Source organism: Homo sapiens, chromosome 13 (assembly GCF_000001405.40).
Source record: "Homo sapiens chromosome 13, GRCh38.p14 Primary Assembly".
Taxonomy (NCBI): domain Eukaryota; kingdom Metazoa; phylum Chordata; class Mammalia; order Primates; family Hominidae; genus Homo; species Homo sapiens.
The window spans coordinates 71,627,417-71,648,154 of NC_000013.11; the positions used below are offsets into that span (position 1 = coordinate 71,627,417).

Consider the following 20,738-nt stretch of genomic DNA (forward strand, 5'->3'; position numbering starts at 1 on the left):
GTCTTCAGAAATGTCACCGGATTTGGGCAAGACTGAGTAGCAACAATACATCATTTAAGTAGCACCCCTCTGAAGGGTTTCACTACTTCAAAGAGTCAACAGTTGATAGATTCATGAGAGCAGTCTGTATTCTAAAATATAGGCCTTGGAGATTCTTGGGATTCCTTCTAGAATTCATGTGCTTCAGCACCGCTTCCTAACCACTTCATGGTAATCGGTTCTCCTGGAGGATTCAGCACATCCTGTTATGACTGCCTGCTTACCTACCTATCTCATCCATAGACTGTATGCCCCTGAGTCCTGGGCCTGTGTTGTGATTATTTTTGTATTCCTAGAATGAGCTAATATTGAATGTCCTACAAAATCTCTAAGATGCAACAGCTGCCCTGAAATCTCCTCACAGGCCTGCAGCTTAGCAAGTAATAGCTACCAGAGACAATGGAAAAGCAGGTGGAAGCAGTTGATGGTGGTAAGAAAGGAAGAAGGTGATTTCCAGGAGGACAGATTTGAAGAAATCATAATAATAATAGCAAAAGCAATCCCCAATCTACCAACCTTACTGATGACCAAACAACTTGATAAGCAGACATTGTAATAAATAATGTGACAAGTATTTTAATTCTCATGATATGATACTATTATTTATGCCATTTTTCAGATATGGAGTTTTGGGCTCAGAAAGTTTACATACTTTACAAAGTCACAGAGCAAGTCATTACTGAACACTTACCAAGAGGCAGGCATTGTCCTCAGAACCAGAGAAGATTGTGGCCATCAAAGCTGCAATTCAGGAATTGCTTTGATCTTTGATGCAGCTCAACCCCCACCTTCACCACTGCTTTGTACCTCCCCCATTACCACATCCCTCCCAAAATCACTTTACTTGATCTCTAGATATATACCTGGGGTGAAGGTGTTCAGGAAGGATATTATAAATTGGAAATTCTTAGAGGACAGCAGCATGTGAGAATAGGATGAAAATTACAATGATAACATCTTTTTGCCCAAATCAGCTACAGATATCTAATATAAATGACCTGAATGCCTTAGGGACTAGCAGCAACACCGATATTATGTTAGCACAATCTCAAACTATTAAGACTTTCTAGGAAAATTCAAGTAAATTTCTGCTCTTGGTTCATTTTGGCGTTGGATGGGGGGTGTCAAAACTAAAAAATAGTAATATCCATCAACTGCATACCTTAATGAAAAAAAGTCATTTATTCCAGCTAAAATACAAAAGAAAATTCAAATTGTTTGTTTTTAAGTCATTGCGATAGGCTACGTACCAAAATAATTAAAGTAAGCTACAATTTGGTTAGTAGGCAAATATTGTCATGTACTATCAAATATGAAAAATATGTTGATGCTTAATTATGAACCATGTTCTCTTTATCTTATGCCTGTTGATTTCTGCAAAGCCAACTTCTGCTCTGGAAAATTCAAACAGAGATACCATGTTTTAATGTGTTTTGCTTTAAATGTTGTTAAATTGCCTATTTTAAGAATCCCTTCTCATAAAACCAACTATTAAGAACAGCCTTCATGAACAGCCTCCTTTTCTAAAATTTTGAAAACAATCCAGATTGTTTTGTAATAATAGATATAATGTATAAGTGGCTAATTACTTGTTTTAAAAAGTGTCCAACAGTGCCCCATTTTCTCAGTCTAATAAAAGGCTTTTACTTTAAAGTAATAGTTCTAAAAACAGAATTATAATTCTTGCATTTTGCTTCAATTCTGTTTTAATTTTTAAATGTCTAAATATATGTGTGTAAACCATGACCGAAACAATCCTCATCCCTCCCTGTCTTCCCTCCAGGAGCATTACAAACATGAGCACAGATATTATCCTTAGTCCTCTGCAGTTGTAGGGCCATCTCTTTTGGCTCTCTTCCATGTCTTTTCATCCGTCTAGGAACTCGCACTCACACCTACTCTCCATTCAAATCCACTACTGCTGGTCCTTTGCAATTTCCCTTACATAGTTGTGCTGAAAAGATGCATTTTTCCCCTTTTTACATTACAAAAGCTGCCTTTTAGCATCACTGAAACAGTATTTTGTGTTTTGTCTATATATTTTACTCTAATATTCATGTCTGTGTATGTTTCCAGACAGCTCTTGTGAAAATGATTGTTACTAAAATCCACAGTATTCCTTTATATACCCTTAACTATGTCTTAATGGATTGAAAGTAGAGAGCTGACAATTAACTTAAGAAATAATCTATGAAAATGCTGCATGGAAAAGAGAATTTAACTGAATGGCCGTGAGTTATTAGGGTCTTCATAAATATACATTGGCTATAGTATCTTGCATACATCTTGTAGTATCCAAATTTCTCTTGTTAATTATATTTTGAGCATGGTCACTGTATTTTAAAGAGAAACAATACAAGTGCAATAGCAGAAAAAAAATGTTTTGCCCCACAACATCCAGATGCTAAGGATTTCATTAATACAAAAATTAACCCATATTTGAAGTTGTGTTTGACAAAATGAATTACCCAAATGGATAGTTGGCACAGGTAAAACTGTCCCTTTTGGTTTGACAGTGACAGTTAACTTTTCATCTTTCTCCATATGGTAGGAAAGAAAAAAAATCAAGAAAATTAAAGTCATATTTTTAAAAGGAGAGACCTTGGTAACCATTATCTATAGAAAGAATTAATCATCAACATAATCTGTATTCTGGGCAGCATATGAAAGGGCTAAGTTTATATGTTTTGCTGCCAATGGTAGTAAGTTTCTTACTTGATAACAAATGGATTAAAAGAATAAAAAAGTAAAGTCTAGGGTTTCCTTTGTACATATTTCTCTGTCACCTTAGCTACTCTCAATGTTTTAGAATTCTCTTGATTAAACTTTGTATTATAAAAGATGTTAGCTGAATGATTTTAGAAGTTGCAGACATAAAGTTGATCCTATAATTAAAAATAATGTTGCTAATTATTCCTTTAGAATGAACAATTATCATTAGTTGTTAGAGAGGCAAAATGGTATCCTCAAACATACAGTGTTTTCAAGCTAAAAGTGCCAACTTTTTGAATGGGTAGCCAACAGTTTTGTTCTGGAAAAGCATTTACTGTAATTCAGTAGCAAAGTGATCACAATAAGTTTCAGCGAACATAAAACTTACCGACACTTGAATTCATGTCCCCGTTTTCAGAGTCTGCTCCATGTTGGTTATTACTGGCATGATAGTTGCTCATGGCTTCTAATTTGATTTTTTTCACCTTCATTGCTTCAGCAATAGCTGCATTGGTAGCAGCAGCAGCTGCTGCAGCGGCTGCTGTCAGACCTTAAAAGAATAAATTAAAAATGAGGTAATTCAAATTCTGATTTTTCATTTAATAGTTCCTGTACTTGCTATAACCAACATACAAACATTTATTAGAGTATCTGATTCCTTTATGCAACACTTTGATAACTTATACTCATTCCCAACTAGACAATGAAACAACATTGATATAAGGGGGAGATTGATTGCTACAGTCCAAAATTAAATATTAACAGAAACACAATTCACAGGTAGAAGGCTAATAGTGGAAATGCAGCGACAGTTATCTCTTAAAGAAACCAATCTACGAATCTAAATATGTCTTTTCCTGCTTAAAATCCCCTGTAGCTGCCTACACGGAGGGAAAAATCTGAACTGTTAACTGAATCCACAAGGCCTTTCACAAGGAGTGTAAACCTACTTCCTCACCCAGTTTCTTCATTGTCATCCACACCCTGGCTATATCACAGATGTCACCATTACCCATACATGACCTGCATCTTCAAGCATGTGCTTTCACACATGCCATTCCCTTTTGCCTGGAACCTTCTTGCCCTATGACAAACATTTCCTTGACTTTTCATCCTCCTGAAAAAAGCTACTCATTAGAAGTCTTCCCATTCCATGGCCCCCAGCTGCCTGGATGCCTGGTCTGTTCTTCTCCCCCTGACCCACGTTTATACCTGTGCTGCTGTTATAGGACATGCCACCCTGCACTGGAATGGTCTGTTGGGACACCTGTTTTCCTCACTAGATTGTGAACTACTCAATGGCAGGAAGCATGTGTTGCTACACAGCTTGCTATTCCCAGTGTTTAAGGTGTTAAAAAATAAAATACAATGTAATGAAAGCTAACACTTAGCTTCTAGTTATGAAATTTAAGTGCTGATTTAAGTGACATAAAAGTAGCTTAATCATCTTAATAACCCTCTGTGATTGATCACTATTATCCTTACTTTACAGATTAGAAAACCATGGCACAGGATTTGAAACAGCACACTCTGGCCTCGGAGTTGACACTTTGAACCACTATGCAAAGAAAATTTGTCCAGAATAGTTCATCTTCATCCATCCAGAGAACAGGGGGTAGAGGCAGACATTAAATTAGAAATAGAGTTTGAGCCGGGTGCAGTAGCACATGCCTATAATCCCAGCACTTTGGGAGGCAGAGACAGGCGGATCCCTTGAGCCCAGGAGTTTGAGACAAGCCTGGGCAACAGGATAAAACCCCCTCTCTACAAAAAATACAAAAAGTAGCTGGGCATGCTGGCCTGTGCCTGTAGTTCTGCTACTCAGGAGGCTGAGGTAGGAGAATCAGTTGAGCCTAGGAGGTTGAGGCTGCAGTAAGCTGTGAGCACACTTGGGTGACAGAGTGAGACTCTGTCCCAAAAAAAGAAAAGAAAGGAAGAGAAAAGAAAAGGAAAGAAAAGAAAAAGACAAAAAAAAAGAAAAGAAACAGAGTTTGAGACAAGATCTCGGAAGATCAGAATTAAGACCATGCTGTTCTGACTTTATATATTTATATAGAGAGATAATAAGCAGAGGTTTTTGAGCAGGGGAGTGGTTTGTCTTGCTTAAATGTGTGAACTTTTGCCAAGTCAGTTCACTTCAGGCTGACATCCCTCATCTGCAAAATGACAGACACTGGAATGTATAAATGATCTCTCCTAATTCTAAAACCTTAAGTCTATGAGAAGATAAATATCCCCAACCCCACCCATTTTTTTTTTTTTTTTTTTTACTGTGGCTTCTTTAGTATTTTTGACTACAGTGCTCCAGCCGTTCGAATTTATCTGTGTGATTTATTTCCAATCCCAGCTGGTGGATTAGAGCCTGAGCACCGCTCTCCTCCTTTTCCTCCCCACTAATCATCACTTCTAGTTATTCTAGCAAATAAGTTACTGCCCAAGGAATTATAAGGAAGTATTTTTCCATGAAAATCTCTGCTGGCTTTTTAGAGGTTAGAAGAAGACTTCACCTTTCCTTCAGATCAGACCAAAGAGGCCCTGACAACTTTCACCCCAACGCAACAAGACCTTCAGATTGGGTCTTTACATGAAAAACTGATAATCACCCCTTAAAAGGCACTAATCTAAACTCAAAGAATCCATCTGGGTTTGATCTGAACATTCATTGCCTTTTAAGTCTCAACTTGAACTGATTCTCTCATCTTCCTATGATTGAATTTTCTCCCCAATTACTCATTTCCTTCAAAGATGTTTCAGAAAATTTTCTTTCCTGTTCTCTTAAAAGTCTCTTTGTGTTTTCCAGCAAATCTTTCTTCCTCAATTTTGTTTTGTCACCAATGTGAACATCCCATTTTTCCTTGGTTACCTGATGTTGACCCATCTCCAATTTATGACTTCAAAAGTCTTTGTCTTGGATTTGTGCTGCAGGGAAAACTTGTTCACAGTATTCAAATAATAAAGGTAAACTTACAACTCACTATTATCAGAGAGATCCAAATCAAATTAAGTACCAGGAACCATGACTATGCATGATATGGCCTTGGACCAACCATCCAATTATCTTGAATATAATTTTTTCACCTGTAAAACCATTCTAATCCCCAAGAAAAAATATAAGGATAAATAAAATAAACTATGTGAGGAATGCCACATCATGTTTAGTAAACATTAGGCATGCTATTCATTCTAGTTTGTTAAAAAGAAAGGCTTGGCCTCACTATAATTTCTGCAGAGTATCTGTGGCCTGACACAGCCCTCTCAGCTAGAATAATCACATTTGTCCTTAGGTGACTGGATTAGCCCCTGACTTTTAAAAATATTCTTTATGATTTTATTATTTAGCTGATTTATTTATAGTACTCCTTTATTTTTCTATGACAGCTTTTCCCAGTTTTACATTTCTAATACAAAGTCCAAAAGATATATGTGTGTCACTGACACACACACACACACACACTCATACACTTTTACATGCTGTAACTTAACTACAACACTTTTTAATATTCTACTTTTAGCCCAGTTTTATGAAAGCAGAAAGCAAGCTATGACATATGCAACAATTGCTGATTTTAGTTTCACTAACTCACCTGGCTGTTTGATGGGTTCTCAATTCTAATTATTTAATATCTTTCCAATTCAACTAATTTTCTCCATTCCCACTGCCCCTCCCCACCAGTACAAGTTCCCATCTTTTCTTTCTTAGAGTCCTGCTCAATATAATAGCACGTCCCCCATCTCCAATCTCTTACTATCCATGTCATAGTCAGCCAAACCTCATGAAAGCGAAGATTTTTTCTTTTTTCTTCCTTTTTTTTTTTTTTCTTTTGAGACAGAGTCTCCTTCTGTCACCCAGGCTGGAGTGCAATGGCGTGATCTCTGCTCACTCCAACCTCCGCCTCCAGGGTTCAAGCTCTTCTTCTGTCTCAGCCTCCCGAGTAGCTGGGATTACATGCACCCACCACCATGCCTAGCTCATTTTTGTATTTTTTGTAGAGACGGGGTTTCACCATGTTGGCCAGGCTGGTCTCGAATTCCTAACCTCAAGTGATCCACCTGCCTTGGCTTCCTGAAGAGCTGGGATTACAGGCATGAGCCACGGCACCTGGCCTGAAAGTGAGGATTTGAATATATATTCAATGCTTGCTCTTAGGATCCAGTCCAGTGCTTCTCATGGCTGTCAGCGCCCTTTGTTCTCAGTTCCCTGCCTATCTGTATGTATTCCTGCTCCTCCGGCTCCCCCTTGCTCTCTGTGCTCCAGGTACATAGGCCTTCTTTCCTTTTCACTAGCAAACGACTTCATTCCTTCTTTTAAGTCAGTCTTTGCATATTCTGTTCTCACTTTCCAGAAAAGCCCTCTATGTCCTGGCCCCGGACTTGCCTATGCCTTCTTCATGTCATCACTTAAATATTATGCGCTCAGAGCTGGAGGCTCAGGTTCCTGACTCTTAACTATCTACCTAGGAAAGAGCTCTCAACATCTCAAGAATTAGCTCATGGCTTACTCTTTTAAAGAGCTGTACCTGACCTTCCCCAATCTACCCCACTTGCTTGTGTTTGCATCAACCCTGCTGTATGTGAGTCTGCCATCCCTAGCTGTGCATCAGAGTCACCCATGGAGTTTTAAACTATGCAAATAGCTCAGCCCTAGCATCTGAGATTCTGAATCATCAGGTCTGGTTTGAGGCCTCTGCAACTGTATATATCTGGTTAATCTTACTATTCTACAGGTCATTTTAATAAGCAATTCCAGTAGAGAAAAACAGTCTCTTAAACTCTTTATTGCTCTTTTCTGGGGGCTGGGGCCAAGGAGAGTAGGATTAGGATTCTGACCTCTAACTAGGTCATAGCACTAAAAGGGCAGAAATACTTTCTTCGTATATATATCCCAAACATCTGCTGCGGTGCTTGGCACATATTGTCACTGAATGAACAAATCCTTATCAAATTAGATTACATGGAAAGCCACAGGAGAAACATGGTCATTATTTTGGCAATGTCAATGGAAAGTAATTTAAAACATTATTGTTATGTTACATTAAGTGTGTATAGACTAAGAATAACAAATCTCATTAACTTAATATAAAGCATGACTCTCCAAAGGTATGTCTTGCCTAGGGCTGGAGAGGATCACAAAAGATTCACCACCCTCAACCCACTCTGCATTTATTGAACTTCCTGTTGGCCTTGCAATGGTCCTTTCAAATCCCTGATGTAATTCTCAAATCCCTTCCAATTTCCTGTCTCTAAAAACATAGCTTACAATCTATACAGTAGCCTTAAATAGAGGTCTCATTGTATATGTTGTTCCCAAACAAAGTTGCCTTAAAAACAACAACAAAAAAATTCATGTAATAAATTCACAAAATAACTTAAGTCTTTGGTCTATACTAAATAGAGAATATAAACTATAACAACATTTCTATTTAATCAAGAATTGTCCACTGGTGTAAACACTGGCAACCCATAACATTTGCCACACCCTTTTCCTTCCTTTCTTCACTTATCATAGATCTTCTCCCCTGTCTTCAGATTCAGGGAAATTTTTGCTACCCTCCCCCCTCTTCCATATCCCACTTTGAATTGTCTTATACTACAAATTACCACTGCTTTTACATTTTTCTTTTCTTTTCTTTTTTGAGAGAGTCTCACTCTGTCACCCAGGCTGGAGTGCAGTAGTGGGATCTCGTCTCACTGCAACCTCCACCTTCCGGGTTCAAGCAATTCTCCTGCCTCAGCCTCCCGAGTAGCTGGGATTATAGGCAAACACCACCAGGTCTGGCTAATTTTTGGGGTATTTTTAGTAGAGATGGGGTTTCACCATGTTGGATAGGCTGGTCTCGAACTCCTGATCTCTGGTGATCCACCCGTCTCAGCTTCCCAAAGTGCAGGGATTACAGGCATGAGCCACTGCGCCCACCCTGCTTTTACATTTTTTCATTCAAGCAACCCATTTCTCCCTCAGAACTAGGCAATCAGCTGCAGTGCATGATAAAGACAGAAGTGATGTTCTCCAAGCCCACATCCACAGAATATTTCTGAAATGGACTAAGGAATCTGTGGTTTTGCATAAAAACACATTGCATAAAAGTATCTCCTACACCAAGACAAAAATGTACTGAACTGAGAAGTCAAAGGAAGTCTAAATTTTATTTTAAAAGATTCTAAATCTAATTTTATCATCAGAAATGGAGAAACTTTAATGCATATTTAAAGTTCATTTTCCAGATGTTTTTAGGAGGTTGAGATCCTAGGCAGTGAATCCTGTGAGCACAAGTTAAACTACTTTGATTAGCTAGAGATGCTTTATAATTCCTTCATCAGTTTCCAAACAAGAAACGATGACTTTAAAAATCTTTTCTAACAGAACAAAACAACACAAAGTAAAAATAATAATAATAATAATAATAATAATAATAATTTTTCACTGCGTAAAAATGGATTGAGAAAGGTTTCTTTAAAAAAAAAAAGTTTTCCTTCAGTGGAAAGATAATAAGTCATATATTGTGTTCTCTCTTCTAGGCCTCCAATTGGTCTTCAGGAAAAGAACTGTATATCAAACTTGGGTTAATACACTACCTGCCTTAAGTGGTGCAATGTATTTAGATTTCTTTTTCTTTCCTATTGAATCTTGACAAACTATCACTTGCAAATTTAAAAGAATGAGCAAATTTTTACACAGAACTTAGAAACGTGGCTTGTCATATTACTATCTGAATTATGATGCAAACTTATGCTTGCTTCTTCAGAGTAAATTATAGATTTTTTTTAAAAATGGGCTATTGTTAAAAATTTTTACCTTTGCTAGTCAATTTCTTTTACTTTTATTCTCACTTTTTGATATTCCACTAAAGTATTTTAAGATTCCTGCTAAATTACTGACCAGCATAGAAGTTATTTGTAGTCTAGACTCACTCTCTTATAAGAAATATGTATAATACAGTGGCTGGGGGGAGAGAGACACCCCAAAGAGCCATGCAAACTTTGGACAAGATGCATCTAACTTATCTGGGATGGCGCAGCGAGTTATATAATGTCCCATGCTTCAAAATTTTCATCTCTAAACAGAGGGATAACAATTCTGACCTCACAGGTGTGTTGTGAAGAATGAAGGTGAAATAACGTGCAACAGCCTGGGCACACATCAAGCCCTCCCCCTCCATAAATGCTCACTGAAACTGTGAAGTAACTCATACGATCCATCATGTCTCTATGTTTAGTTTTACCTTTGTTCAATTACAAAGGTGCAAATAGGACAAAAAGTACCTAACAGCATAGGGTGAGAATGTAGCCATTTGGCAAACGGATATCTAAAAATCAGGTTTCCATCAAATCATTGGATTTGGCTCTCTACATTGATCAGATTTATCATAAAATCACTAAATCTTCACTCCATGCTGTATTAAGACAAAGCCTTCACTAGTTTAAATTCTATATTCTAAAACCAATCCATGGATATATCTTTTGGAAGAGATGCAGGCATTTTTACTAGTTAGAATATTCTTTCACTTTTTAAAGATAGTGTTTTTCTTCTGCTTTCAACCTTTATTAAAACGGCCTTTAAATTCTTCAAATGCCATTATACAATCCTGATTACTCTCTTTAAAAAAATGGAAAACTATCTCCATTTTATTTATTTCAAATAAGTTAGTACCCTTACTTATAAATAGAAGATTACAATTGTAGATTATAGATATCAATAAAAGAGACATATTGCTGTCAAATTCTTTCTCTGATCTGTTTGTTTGCTCATTAACTTGAAAGGCCCAATCTTTGATCTTTGGTTTCAAAGACATCAAGATGACTTCCAAATGTTTGATATATTGTCTACTTTTACATTGCATTCCATATAAAATGCATTTCCTCAAATTTAATAGTTAAATAAAATGGGTTATATCCAAGAGATGTTACGTATTCAAACTTTCCATATGATAGACTTGTTATTAGTTTGTGTTAGTTTGCTTACATTTAAACAAAACCATTTTAAACATGCAGTAGATTATAGCCAATGGTAGTTATTATTTTGGAATTGATAAGTTATTTATGTCTGGCATTCTTCCTACTGATTATTCAGAGAGACAGGCGGCTTATAAATATCTCATCACTCCACCGTCACAGAAATTTCGTCGACAGTGCTCATGCACAGCTATTAGCAATATGAATCTAACCATTACAAGAAGGAGGAAAATCGAACATGTGGCATTAATACGCAGTCCTGGTTCCTAACCATCTGATAGGCAGATGGTGTGAAGCGGATTCTCCAGCTGAAATGAAGGGGCACATCATTTAAAACCTTGTTTGCATTCTAACTGATATCAGTGCCATATTCATATACATGATACATCATGGCAGTATTTGAACAATCTAGTTTGTTTCAGTCATAAATGTTTACAGCCTTGTTTTTTTAATCTTATAAGCATGTTCAGAAGAGTGTATTTTTAATTTATGAAACCTATTGTTTACTTCTGTTGAACTAGAAGATTAGTGGAAAGCAGGAATATTAAATTACTTCAACCAGAGCAATATAACCAAGACAGATGAATAAAGTGGGTTTCTATTTTCAATAAGGATGTTAGCAAAAGAATTTTAAAATTAGCTCAGGCATTTTGTGCATTAAATACACTTATTCATTTAAACCTTTCAGCTATTTTTCCCCAAGTGGCATACAGAGAAACTTAATGCCTTACATAGTCATTCATTTAAAACTCTCACCGTGTGCAATTAATCTTGTCCAACAATTCAATTCAGAAAGTAAAACATCAAAAAGCATAGTTCAATTCAACAGTCATTACTGTGAAGTAATCTTTCTGCTCCTGACAGTTCCTATAGACTCTTTGCAAAACTCTGTTGAAGGTGCATTGTAAGCTCCACATGAGTTTGAATTACAACTCAATTGAAATCACTCCAAGTCTTAGAAGAACTCTTGGCTCAATATAACAATTTGAAAACACCAGTACCTTTTTTCACCCTGTTTTCCTCCTATCCTTATTTAAATACCAGCTGTCAGAAACTGACACTAACTTTCAGTTATTTTATTTCTCAATGCTTTCTAAATAAATTAAAATTGTGATTGAAACATGCATGTCTTCACTCTTGAATGATTAAATAACCAGAATGATAAGCAGATAGAACAAAAAACTTAATTGTAAATCTGGTTAGACTGAAGATTTTGAGTGTGAACTTTTCTCTTAATGTCCATTAGACTGACTTTTCTTGGCCTTTGAAACACATTTGTATTCTGCAGAGAAAAAGAAAAATTGATCCTTGAGGCCATTAATGGAAACACTCCCTATACCAGTTTTGAGTCTTTCAACTGATTGAATTAGATTTTTTAAATGTTTGTACTAACAACAACAAAAAAACCCCACTAATTTGGAGATATATACAGTAAGAAAGATGTTGTTATAATATGAATAATGACTTATAAATCAAATAGACATCAGATTTAGCATTCTTTTTCTGGATAGCTTAAAATCTCAATTTCTCAGACTGAAGAGGTTATAGAAGTGAAATCAGAAAGAAGGAACACCATAGGGAAGTCATCTGGCCATATCAATCACTGAGGAACTTCTATGAAAGCTTTTGAAAAGCTCACCTTCTGATCACTAACCCAAAATCAGGCTGAAACGTAATCAATAAAAACTTTTAAATTACTATAATTTGGTTTAAAATCAACTGTTACCTAATTTATAAAAAGTTGAACTTGGCACTATGAGGTCTTAAATATGTAACTTTTACTCCACCTTTAACATTACTACCTTTAGAAAAATATTTCTAAACAACCTCTTGGGGTCTTAAACTTATAAAACTTGGGGATTAGAAAGACTTTACCTAATGTAACCCTTTTATTTTACTGATGATTAAATTTAGGGGCAATGAGGTTAATCATTTCTGTAAAGTCACACCATTAAATAATCACAGAGTAATCCCAATTCGCCTTACTCCCAGTTCAGCACTGACCACACGGATTCTATGAGTAAATATAAAAAGAAAAGTACAGAAGACAGTAAACTATGGAGTCTTTGAAACAGATGACCCCCACTTTGCTCTAGTAGCTTATGGATTGTATAGAAAGTCGAAGTTATAGACACTCAGGTATGTCACAAATATACCAATATAAATTGACTCCACTTAGAAATCTGATCTAAATGTTTGTGTTTCAGTTTTATAGAATTTAGAGTGTATCTGCCACAGAAACAATGACCATTGAACTTTATGCACAAAACTTTTAACCTATACTGTATTGGTGAAATACAATATAATTTGTGCCTGAATCCTATGTATTACATAGGGCACAATGAGGAAGAAATAAAAAGAAGAGTAAATAAATTATTCTTCTCTGCATATCTTGAATATAAAACAAATTCCAACCAGAAACAAATTGAACTGACATGCCTTGACTCTAATTTTCTTTTAAGCACCCCTCTCATTATATCTTTTTCAATTATTTAATAAACTAGGCATTAGATATCTTCATGTTGGTCTAAGGCCCAATACTTCTTACTACTCACAGAACCCATCAGCCAAAATTACTCAGTGAATTGACTCCACGCAGGTAGCTCTAAGTAGCATGAGAGTGATTGAAAGTGTGTGATACTCTAAACGATGTTTTTGTTTTGTTAAGAGGCTTCTTGTTAATGTATTGGTGATAGTTCAGGCAATATAATAAGTGAAAAGAGGAAAAGATACGATAATCGTAATTTCCTGCAAAAGAATAACCTCACTGGCATTTCAGTCTAAGTATAATCTCCTCAAATGTTCTACTTTTCTCAATATCATGCAAATCCTTGTCTAAATCCATTTCTACCTCAATGTCTCAGTTGTTTTTTTCTTTTTCCAGATTCCAAGTACCACATGGGGTCTGTGCATGTGTAGTTTATTGTTGAGGACAGAAAATGACAAAAAAAAACAAAAGAGGTGGCTATTTTTACATGTAAGTCTTGTTTGGGATGAGCCATCTAATTAAATAAAAATAGCTGGAAAATACGTGGCCACAAAAGTCTTCTGATACAGTAAATAAATGTTTTTCAAGGAAAAGACTCATGCAAGAAATTTATTCATATATACATACATATGTATGAATATATGTACACATACATATATATACACACACATAGAATAAAGAATACAGACACACAGTATTCTTTCTAAGTGGAGGTCAAAGTCTGAGTGGGCTAGGAACAATATACATGCAGAGTCACTGGTTAACAATAGGAACAGAGAAACCAGTGGTTGAGGCATTATATTTTTTACTTCTTTGTCATTAGGTCTAGCATTTATAACAACATCTCATTTAAGCTCCATCATCAACCTACAAGGTAAGTGTTTTCCTCATCTGGTTACAAAGAAAACGTGAATAGTGAGAGGCCAGTTGTAGTGCTTTGAAAAGTAGGTTTGTGTTTGCAGTTTTAAAGTTGGATTATGGAAAAAAACAATCCTAGTTAATCTAGAAAAACACATAGTGCCATGTGATAAGGAAGATTCAAATGAAATATGAGTTGTGGTCCATAGTCTCAAATGGTTGGCATCTCCTACATGGTGGAATGTTAAAGGGAATGAAGCCCTTATCTTGGCACAATTTCATAATCATGGTCAAGTTACTTAATTCTTTGAGTGTGACTTAGACAAATTACTTAGTCTGATTATAAGGAGACTTCACACCTTACTGTTCAAAAAATAAATGGTGTTTAGGTTTGAATTTATTTCTTTTATAAGGTTTGATTATTATATTCAACCCATCTCACCTAGGAACAGAGCAATTATATATCAGGAAGAATTACCAATGTGCAGTATTATATTATTCACTTCTCTTTTTGCTGCAAAAAAATTATTCCAACAGAAAGAAATGTTTAGTTACTAACATGCCAAGAAATGTGAACCTTTTGTGTATTCTGACAGGAACTTTTACTTTGTTTCAAAACATTTGTAAGTCATAGCAAATCTTCAATTTTCCTAACATCTCTTCATTTTAGACGCAATGTCTGTAGTTATACTGATCCAATGACTTCTCTTGACCTAATTTATACCGTACCATGAGATTCTATTAAAAGAAACTAAATCACTGCAGTAGATTTATTCACCTTAAATAATTTAAGCTAATTGAAAAAGAACCAAACTAAAACTAAGACACTTCTCTCAAGCATTCAACTTCTGCATGTCAATTAGTAATTTAAATAACCAGCTAATCACAAAAGCTTCGTGAGAAACACCGACCTATGCTATGTATACATCTCTCTACTTCCACTGGCTGAAGATACAAGTAAACATCAATTCTGATTCTACAAGTACGTATATCTCTTCTGTAGCAATTAGGTAATTCCAATACAATGTTTTCATGGATGGATTTGAGATTCTTTTTAACTTTTCCAAAAAATGTTCAAAAGAACATAGAAAAATAGAAATATCTGAACATTTCACATCTAGTCACTCTTTTTTGTCAATGAGTTATGACAGTTCAAATTTATAAGGTGACTTAAACAAAACAAAATTGAAAACACTGCTGTTATCTACAAACATTAATACATCACAATAACCAAAGACTGAACTCCCATGGATTGGTTTAAAAATTACTAACTCAGGCCGGGCGCAGTGGCTCATGGCTGTAATCCCAGCGCTTTGGGAGGCCGAGGCGAGCAGATCACTTGAGGTCAGGAGTTCGAGACCAGCCTGGCCAACACAGTGAAACCCATCTCTACTGAAAAAAATATACAAAAATTAGCCAGACATAGTGGCACGTGCCTGTAATCCCAGCTACTCGGGAGGCTGAGAAAGGAGAATGGCATGAACCTGGGAGGCAGAGGTTGCAGTGAGCAGAGATCGCGCCACTGCACTCCAGCCTGGGAGACAGAGTGAGACTCCATCTCAAAAAAAAAAATTACAAATTCAGTTTAATATTATTATATTTTATTATTGTTACTTTTCTTCTTAAGATGAAGTTATTAAATATCATTTTGATTTATGCAATGTTCACAGTGGCACATAATGTGATTAGAAATTACAATATTCTAATTGTCCCATCCTTTGGAACTCCATTTGTAAAATCAATGGTCATTTTTCTCATGCATTTATTAGATTTCATAATTCAGCCATTTGTAATACCTGGAATATGTGGCATAATGACATGTATGACAGTCCTACAAAGAGTTTCAAAAGCTTTTTGCAATACTCTTACCATACATCTTTCTTATGAGAATTAGAAAATTCAAACATAACTTTATCTTGGAGGTAAAGCCTTTTGAAATATTGCTAAAGTGCATACTGAATAAAGACAACACACTTAAGCGGACTTTCTCCCCTTTAAACAGCATTCATCTTTTCAAAAGCAATAGATTCTCAGTCCACACGGAGTCTGTTGCATTATTCATTTCATGTGCAACCTCATGCTGGACCATAAATTGTTACTTTATCTAATCAAAGGAGACTTAACTCTACAGAAGGTCAAAGGTTTAATTTTGTGAAGTATTATCTTACGCTATGAGTTTAACCGAAAAATAGAAGAAGAAAAACAGCCAAGAAACTGGTAATAAATGAACCTTTATTGCCTCAGGCATTGGCCTAGTTAATAAACTTTCATTGAAGGTTTCTTTCAACTGTTACGGACAATGAGAGGAAAAAAATATTAAATTACAGCCATGTGTGACTTTTAAAGCAGTCATTCTTTTTTATCTCAACCTTCCTAGCTCAGGGAAAGAAGAAAAAAAAAAGACAAAGAGAGATTGTCTTCGATCTCTTAACCAAAAATATATGTTTCTAAACAGATGAAAAAGTGCAGATAAACTTTTCTAAAAGCAGAGGTCAGCTTTGAACAATATTAAAAAAATGCTTTCTTTAGGTGTTGAATCTTAGAAAACAATCTCTCTAGCTCAACGTAAAACTACAAAAGGGAGGAGGGGGACATGTTTTCTTCCCGAAAAGACTAACTCTTAAATTGTAGTCTCCTGCTTAGCACAACATAATGCCTTATAATCTTGTCATTATTGCACAAAGTCAACTGTAGTTTTGATATTAATTAAATGCATTGTAAATAAAACAGTATCTATGTATTATCTGACCTGTTTTAACGCAGAAATCCTTCCTCTGTCATCAGAAATGCTAGTAGCAAAATAATTAATTGATATACAATTAAAATTTTTGAAAGGAACACTTTTATCTTCTTAGCTAATATTCTCAACCAAAAATGAATGGTCTATGTGTAGTTTTTATATCAGTATTTTCTAGAGAAGTAAACGAACTGAGTTCTTCTCAACTACATCCACTTTTTCAGCTGGCACTGTGTTGAGGATGAAAGTTGTCACAGCCTCAATTCCACTTCCACGCCACAGTATAAATAAGGTAGATCCTCCTGTCACCAACAGAGTTCATATAAACTGTGAGACAAGGAAGAAGCAATGTTTTGCATCATACCTCAGATCTTCCGCAAGAAAAGGGGAAAGAGAGCTGGCTCTGTACTAACGGGGCCCTCTCTGCCAGGTTCTATCCACAAATCACAATGCTCTCAGCAGGGCACCCAACCCTATTCCACCTAGCAGCATTTGGACAGAACTGGGGCTCTACTTCATTCCAGGGACATGTCCCCAGGATGCTATCTTGGCCACCTTTGAATCTGAACATGATGGCTGCTTACACCAGCAGCACCAGGTGAAAGCAAGACCAGGCTCCCTACTAAGAAGTGCACTCTGCACAGCTGGAAGGCAATGAGTTCTTCTGGGGTCAAGGATGGAGCAGGTTTATAGCAGCAGCTCTGTTTCTTTTCTGTATTTGCCAAGAATAGTAAAGGAGACTTCTGAGAAGAGACCATCTAACCTGAATCATGAATGGAAAAAAAAAATCAAGTTTTATTCATAGAATATTAAGGATACAAACACGGTGTTTCGAAAAATGTGGTTAAGCCTAGATACCAGAATCCAAAGCAAGTTGGAATAATTGGTTTTCATTAAATTAGTAGAGGGTTTTAGAATCAACGAGCAGGTTTGATTTTACGCAAGAAACCATAAAGTGCTACTCCAAGTTTAGGAGGGGAAGCATTGTCGGAAGAGCAATTGATAAACATGATTCTCCCCCCTCTTTATTTACTGCATAATTTTGACATAGGCATATAACTGGGGAGCTTAAGAAGAAAAAGGTGAAGAAAAATGCAGAAATATCAACTACTTTCTAGAACGAAACACTGTAGTTTAGAATGTACATAAGTGAATGACAAGTTGCATGTATGTGCGTAAACGATTTAGTAATAGCAAGAGTGGTCATGGTTTATAATTTCAATCATCTCATTTACTCTTCTTTAAGAGAAAAAGCCTGAGGTACATTTAGAAGGTGATCTCAAGGTCAGAGAAGCATGGGAGAGTAACAAAAGCAGGTATCTCAAGTCTAATTCTTTGTTCCATTAATCAGATTTTTATGGGCTTGGGAAAGTTGTGCTACAGTACACAGGGAGGATAAGAATAAGGAAAGATCAAGGGAATTCAAAGGATTTATTAAAAGTGCAGACAGTAACTCCGACTAGTGTTTTTGCTAGACAGACACAATTAATTAATTGTAACATTGTGAAACTAAAACGCTGAAAGAACGTGCTCATGCCTGCAATGCAGTAATGTAGCAAATACTTAGAATCTTTCAACCACCAGGAGCTTTTGTTGGTTTTTTAACCTAATCCACAGCTTGACATAGATCCTAGGGTAATAGAACACAGTTCTTTGATTGAAATATCTAAACATTGCTGCACTAGCCTGGTGGCCTAATAAGTCTGTGTTTCTGAAACTTGAGAAATTTCAAGTTTGGAAACAAACTGAGATACTGAACTCTGTCTTGAAAAGTCCTTCAAGAAATTGCCTTTGAGACTGGAATATACTCTTTCCTGTTTAACAGGACCAAAAGAGATATAAAACTTCTGCAATCGGCCAGGTGCGGTGGCTCATGCCTGTAATCCCAGCACTTTGGGAGGCCAAGGAAGGCAGATCACAAGGTCAGGAGTTCAAGACCAGCCTGGCCAACATGGTAAAAGTCCCATCTCTAGTAAAAATACAAAAATTAGCCAGGCATGGTGGCGGGTGCCTGTAATCCCAGCTACTCGGGAGGCTGAGGCAGGAGAATCACTTGAACCCGGGAGGCAGAGCTTGCAGTGAGCCGAGACTGCGCCATTGCACTCCAGCCTGGGCAACCAGAGCAAAACTCCGTCTCAAAAAAAAAAAAGAAAAAAAAAACAACCCTTCTGTAATCGTTTTTCTTTTAAACAGTGATACAGTCAAAGCAAATTGTTTTCTTCAGCCACTCAAAAGTTACTAATAAGGAAAAAGTAGTGTTGATAATTGCAGAGTCTAATACATGTCATAAAAACATGAAGAATTTCAGAAGTGATCCATTAGCCCAACTTTCTACATTTGGACATAAAAATGTGAACACTATCTACAAGTTTACTCATTGTTACAGAGAAAGTTGATCCATCTATTTGATCAAGTTTAATCACATGAAAAACTTCAATTTGTTCAAAAACACACTAAATATATCTAAAAAGTAATTCTTATATACCATTTAGTGGAAAATAGAAAATCCTCCGTACTTATTTTGTTTTATTCAAGGTACCTCAATTTGTGATAATGATAAGAATGCCATATTTGAGCATTTTAGTGAGTGTGGAATTATTTATAAGTCTGCATTTGCAGCAATAAATACACTCTGATTAAACTCTGAAAGACAATTGCAATAAAATATCCATTTAATTGTGGATTCTGCTGAATTTCAAAAGGCAAAGAATGTGTGCCATTACTATTTACCAATACTCAGGTGTCTTGTAAAAATTGCTAAGCAAAAATGGATGAATAGAGAAAAGAGAAAGGCATGGGTAGCATTATGTATACCTGAGGCTATAGGCAAACTGTGATCATACATTTAGACAACAGACTTATAATATTTAAATAACGAAAATGATTTTTACTTAGCATCTGTCATTTGACACTATCAAATCACTTTATAACTGTTAATAAAAATGATACTTGGATGACAACTGAGATTCTGAACACTGCCACAAATGTGAAGTCTTGGCATATTTTATCATTACCTTGTAAAGCATGAGCTGTGAAGCTGGAAGGGAACTAGACAGCAAGTAAGAAAAATCCTCAAATTAAATAATAAAGACATTAGTTTGAAAACATACCAGTCCTTGTACAAAGAGTTTTCACGAGCACAATTACAGTTAGATAAATCAGGAAATCAATGATGTCTAGAACCCAATTTTTTTTCCATATTTCCTTTCTGCTATCTGTTGGTAGATAACCCTCATATTAAAAAGTATTAAAAAGTTAGCTACAGCAATTCCAGGAATCCAACTAAAAAAGAATTAGCTGATTATGCTATATGTTTCTTTTTAGTCCTTGAAGAAATCGTTCCCACGGGACATCTAAAAGGCTCTAACTGGTCAAACTGTATCATCTGATCATGCCCAACCAATCATAGGCAAAGAGAACAGGGCCACCATGACTCACAACTGGGATAGAACATGGGGCTGAGACCTCCTAAGTGCATGACTGGAGAAACAATGGGAATACCTGAATCAAGTTAGGATTCTGTTAGAAAAGAAGGGGTGATGGGTTGTTATTGTGGAGCAACTAAAAAAGCCTGTGAGAAAAGCTCCTTGGAGAATATTAAAGAAAATAGCTACCAACTTCAAAAAGAAGCCCACTTACTTTGCTATTTCCAATATTCCAATATTTGTAATCTTTCCCAAGCATGCTCAACAGTTAACCTGCAACTCCTAGTTTCAGAGGATAATATCATTGTTGTTTTCAAGACACTACTTTATTCTCATAATGAAAGTCTTGGTCCTTGTACAGAAAAGTTTCATAAAATTACACAGTGAATTTGATTTTTATATTTAGAGTTACCAGGAACAGAAACATGAAATAGCACCCAATTGCTTTGAGTTTCCTTTCTTGTCTCTAGCTGGAGAGATATAAACAATAAGATGATATGTCTACAGAACACAAAGATGGCATCCTTCA

At 36.0% G+C, this 20,738-nt stretch overlaps 1 protein-coding gene across 7 annotated transcripts in view; it reads right to left on the bottom strand.

Annotated features, from left to right (window-relative positions):
• DACH1 (dachshund family transcription factor 1) overlaps positions 1–20,738 on the bottom strand; it is a 429,239-nt gene that overhangs the window by 189,451 nt on the left and 219,050 nt on the right. For 6 of the 7 annotated variants that reach the window (NM_080760.6, NM_080759.6, NM_001366712.1 and 3 more), the window contains one exon: positions 3,140–3,301. The exons of the other annotated variant lie outside the window; for it this stretch is intronic. In NM_080760.6, the coding sequence (NP_542938.3) occupies positions 3,140–3,301 (162 nt within the window). The remainder of the gene's footprint in view (positions 1–3,139; positions 3,302–20,738) is intronic. 7 annotated transcript variants of the gene reach the window in all.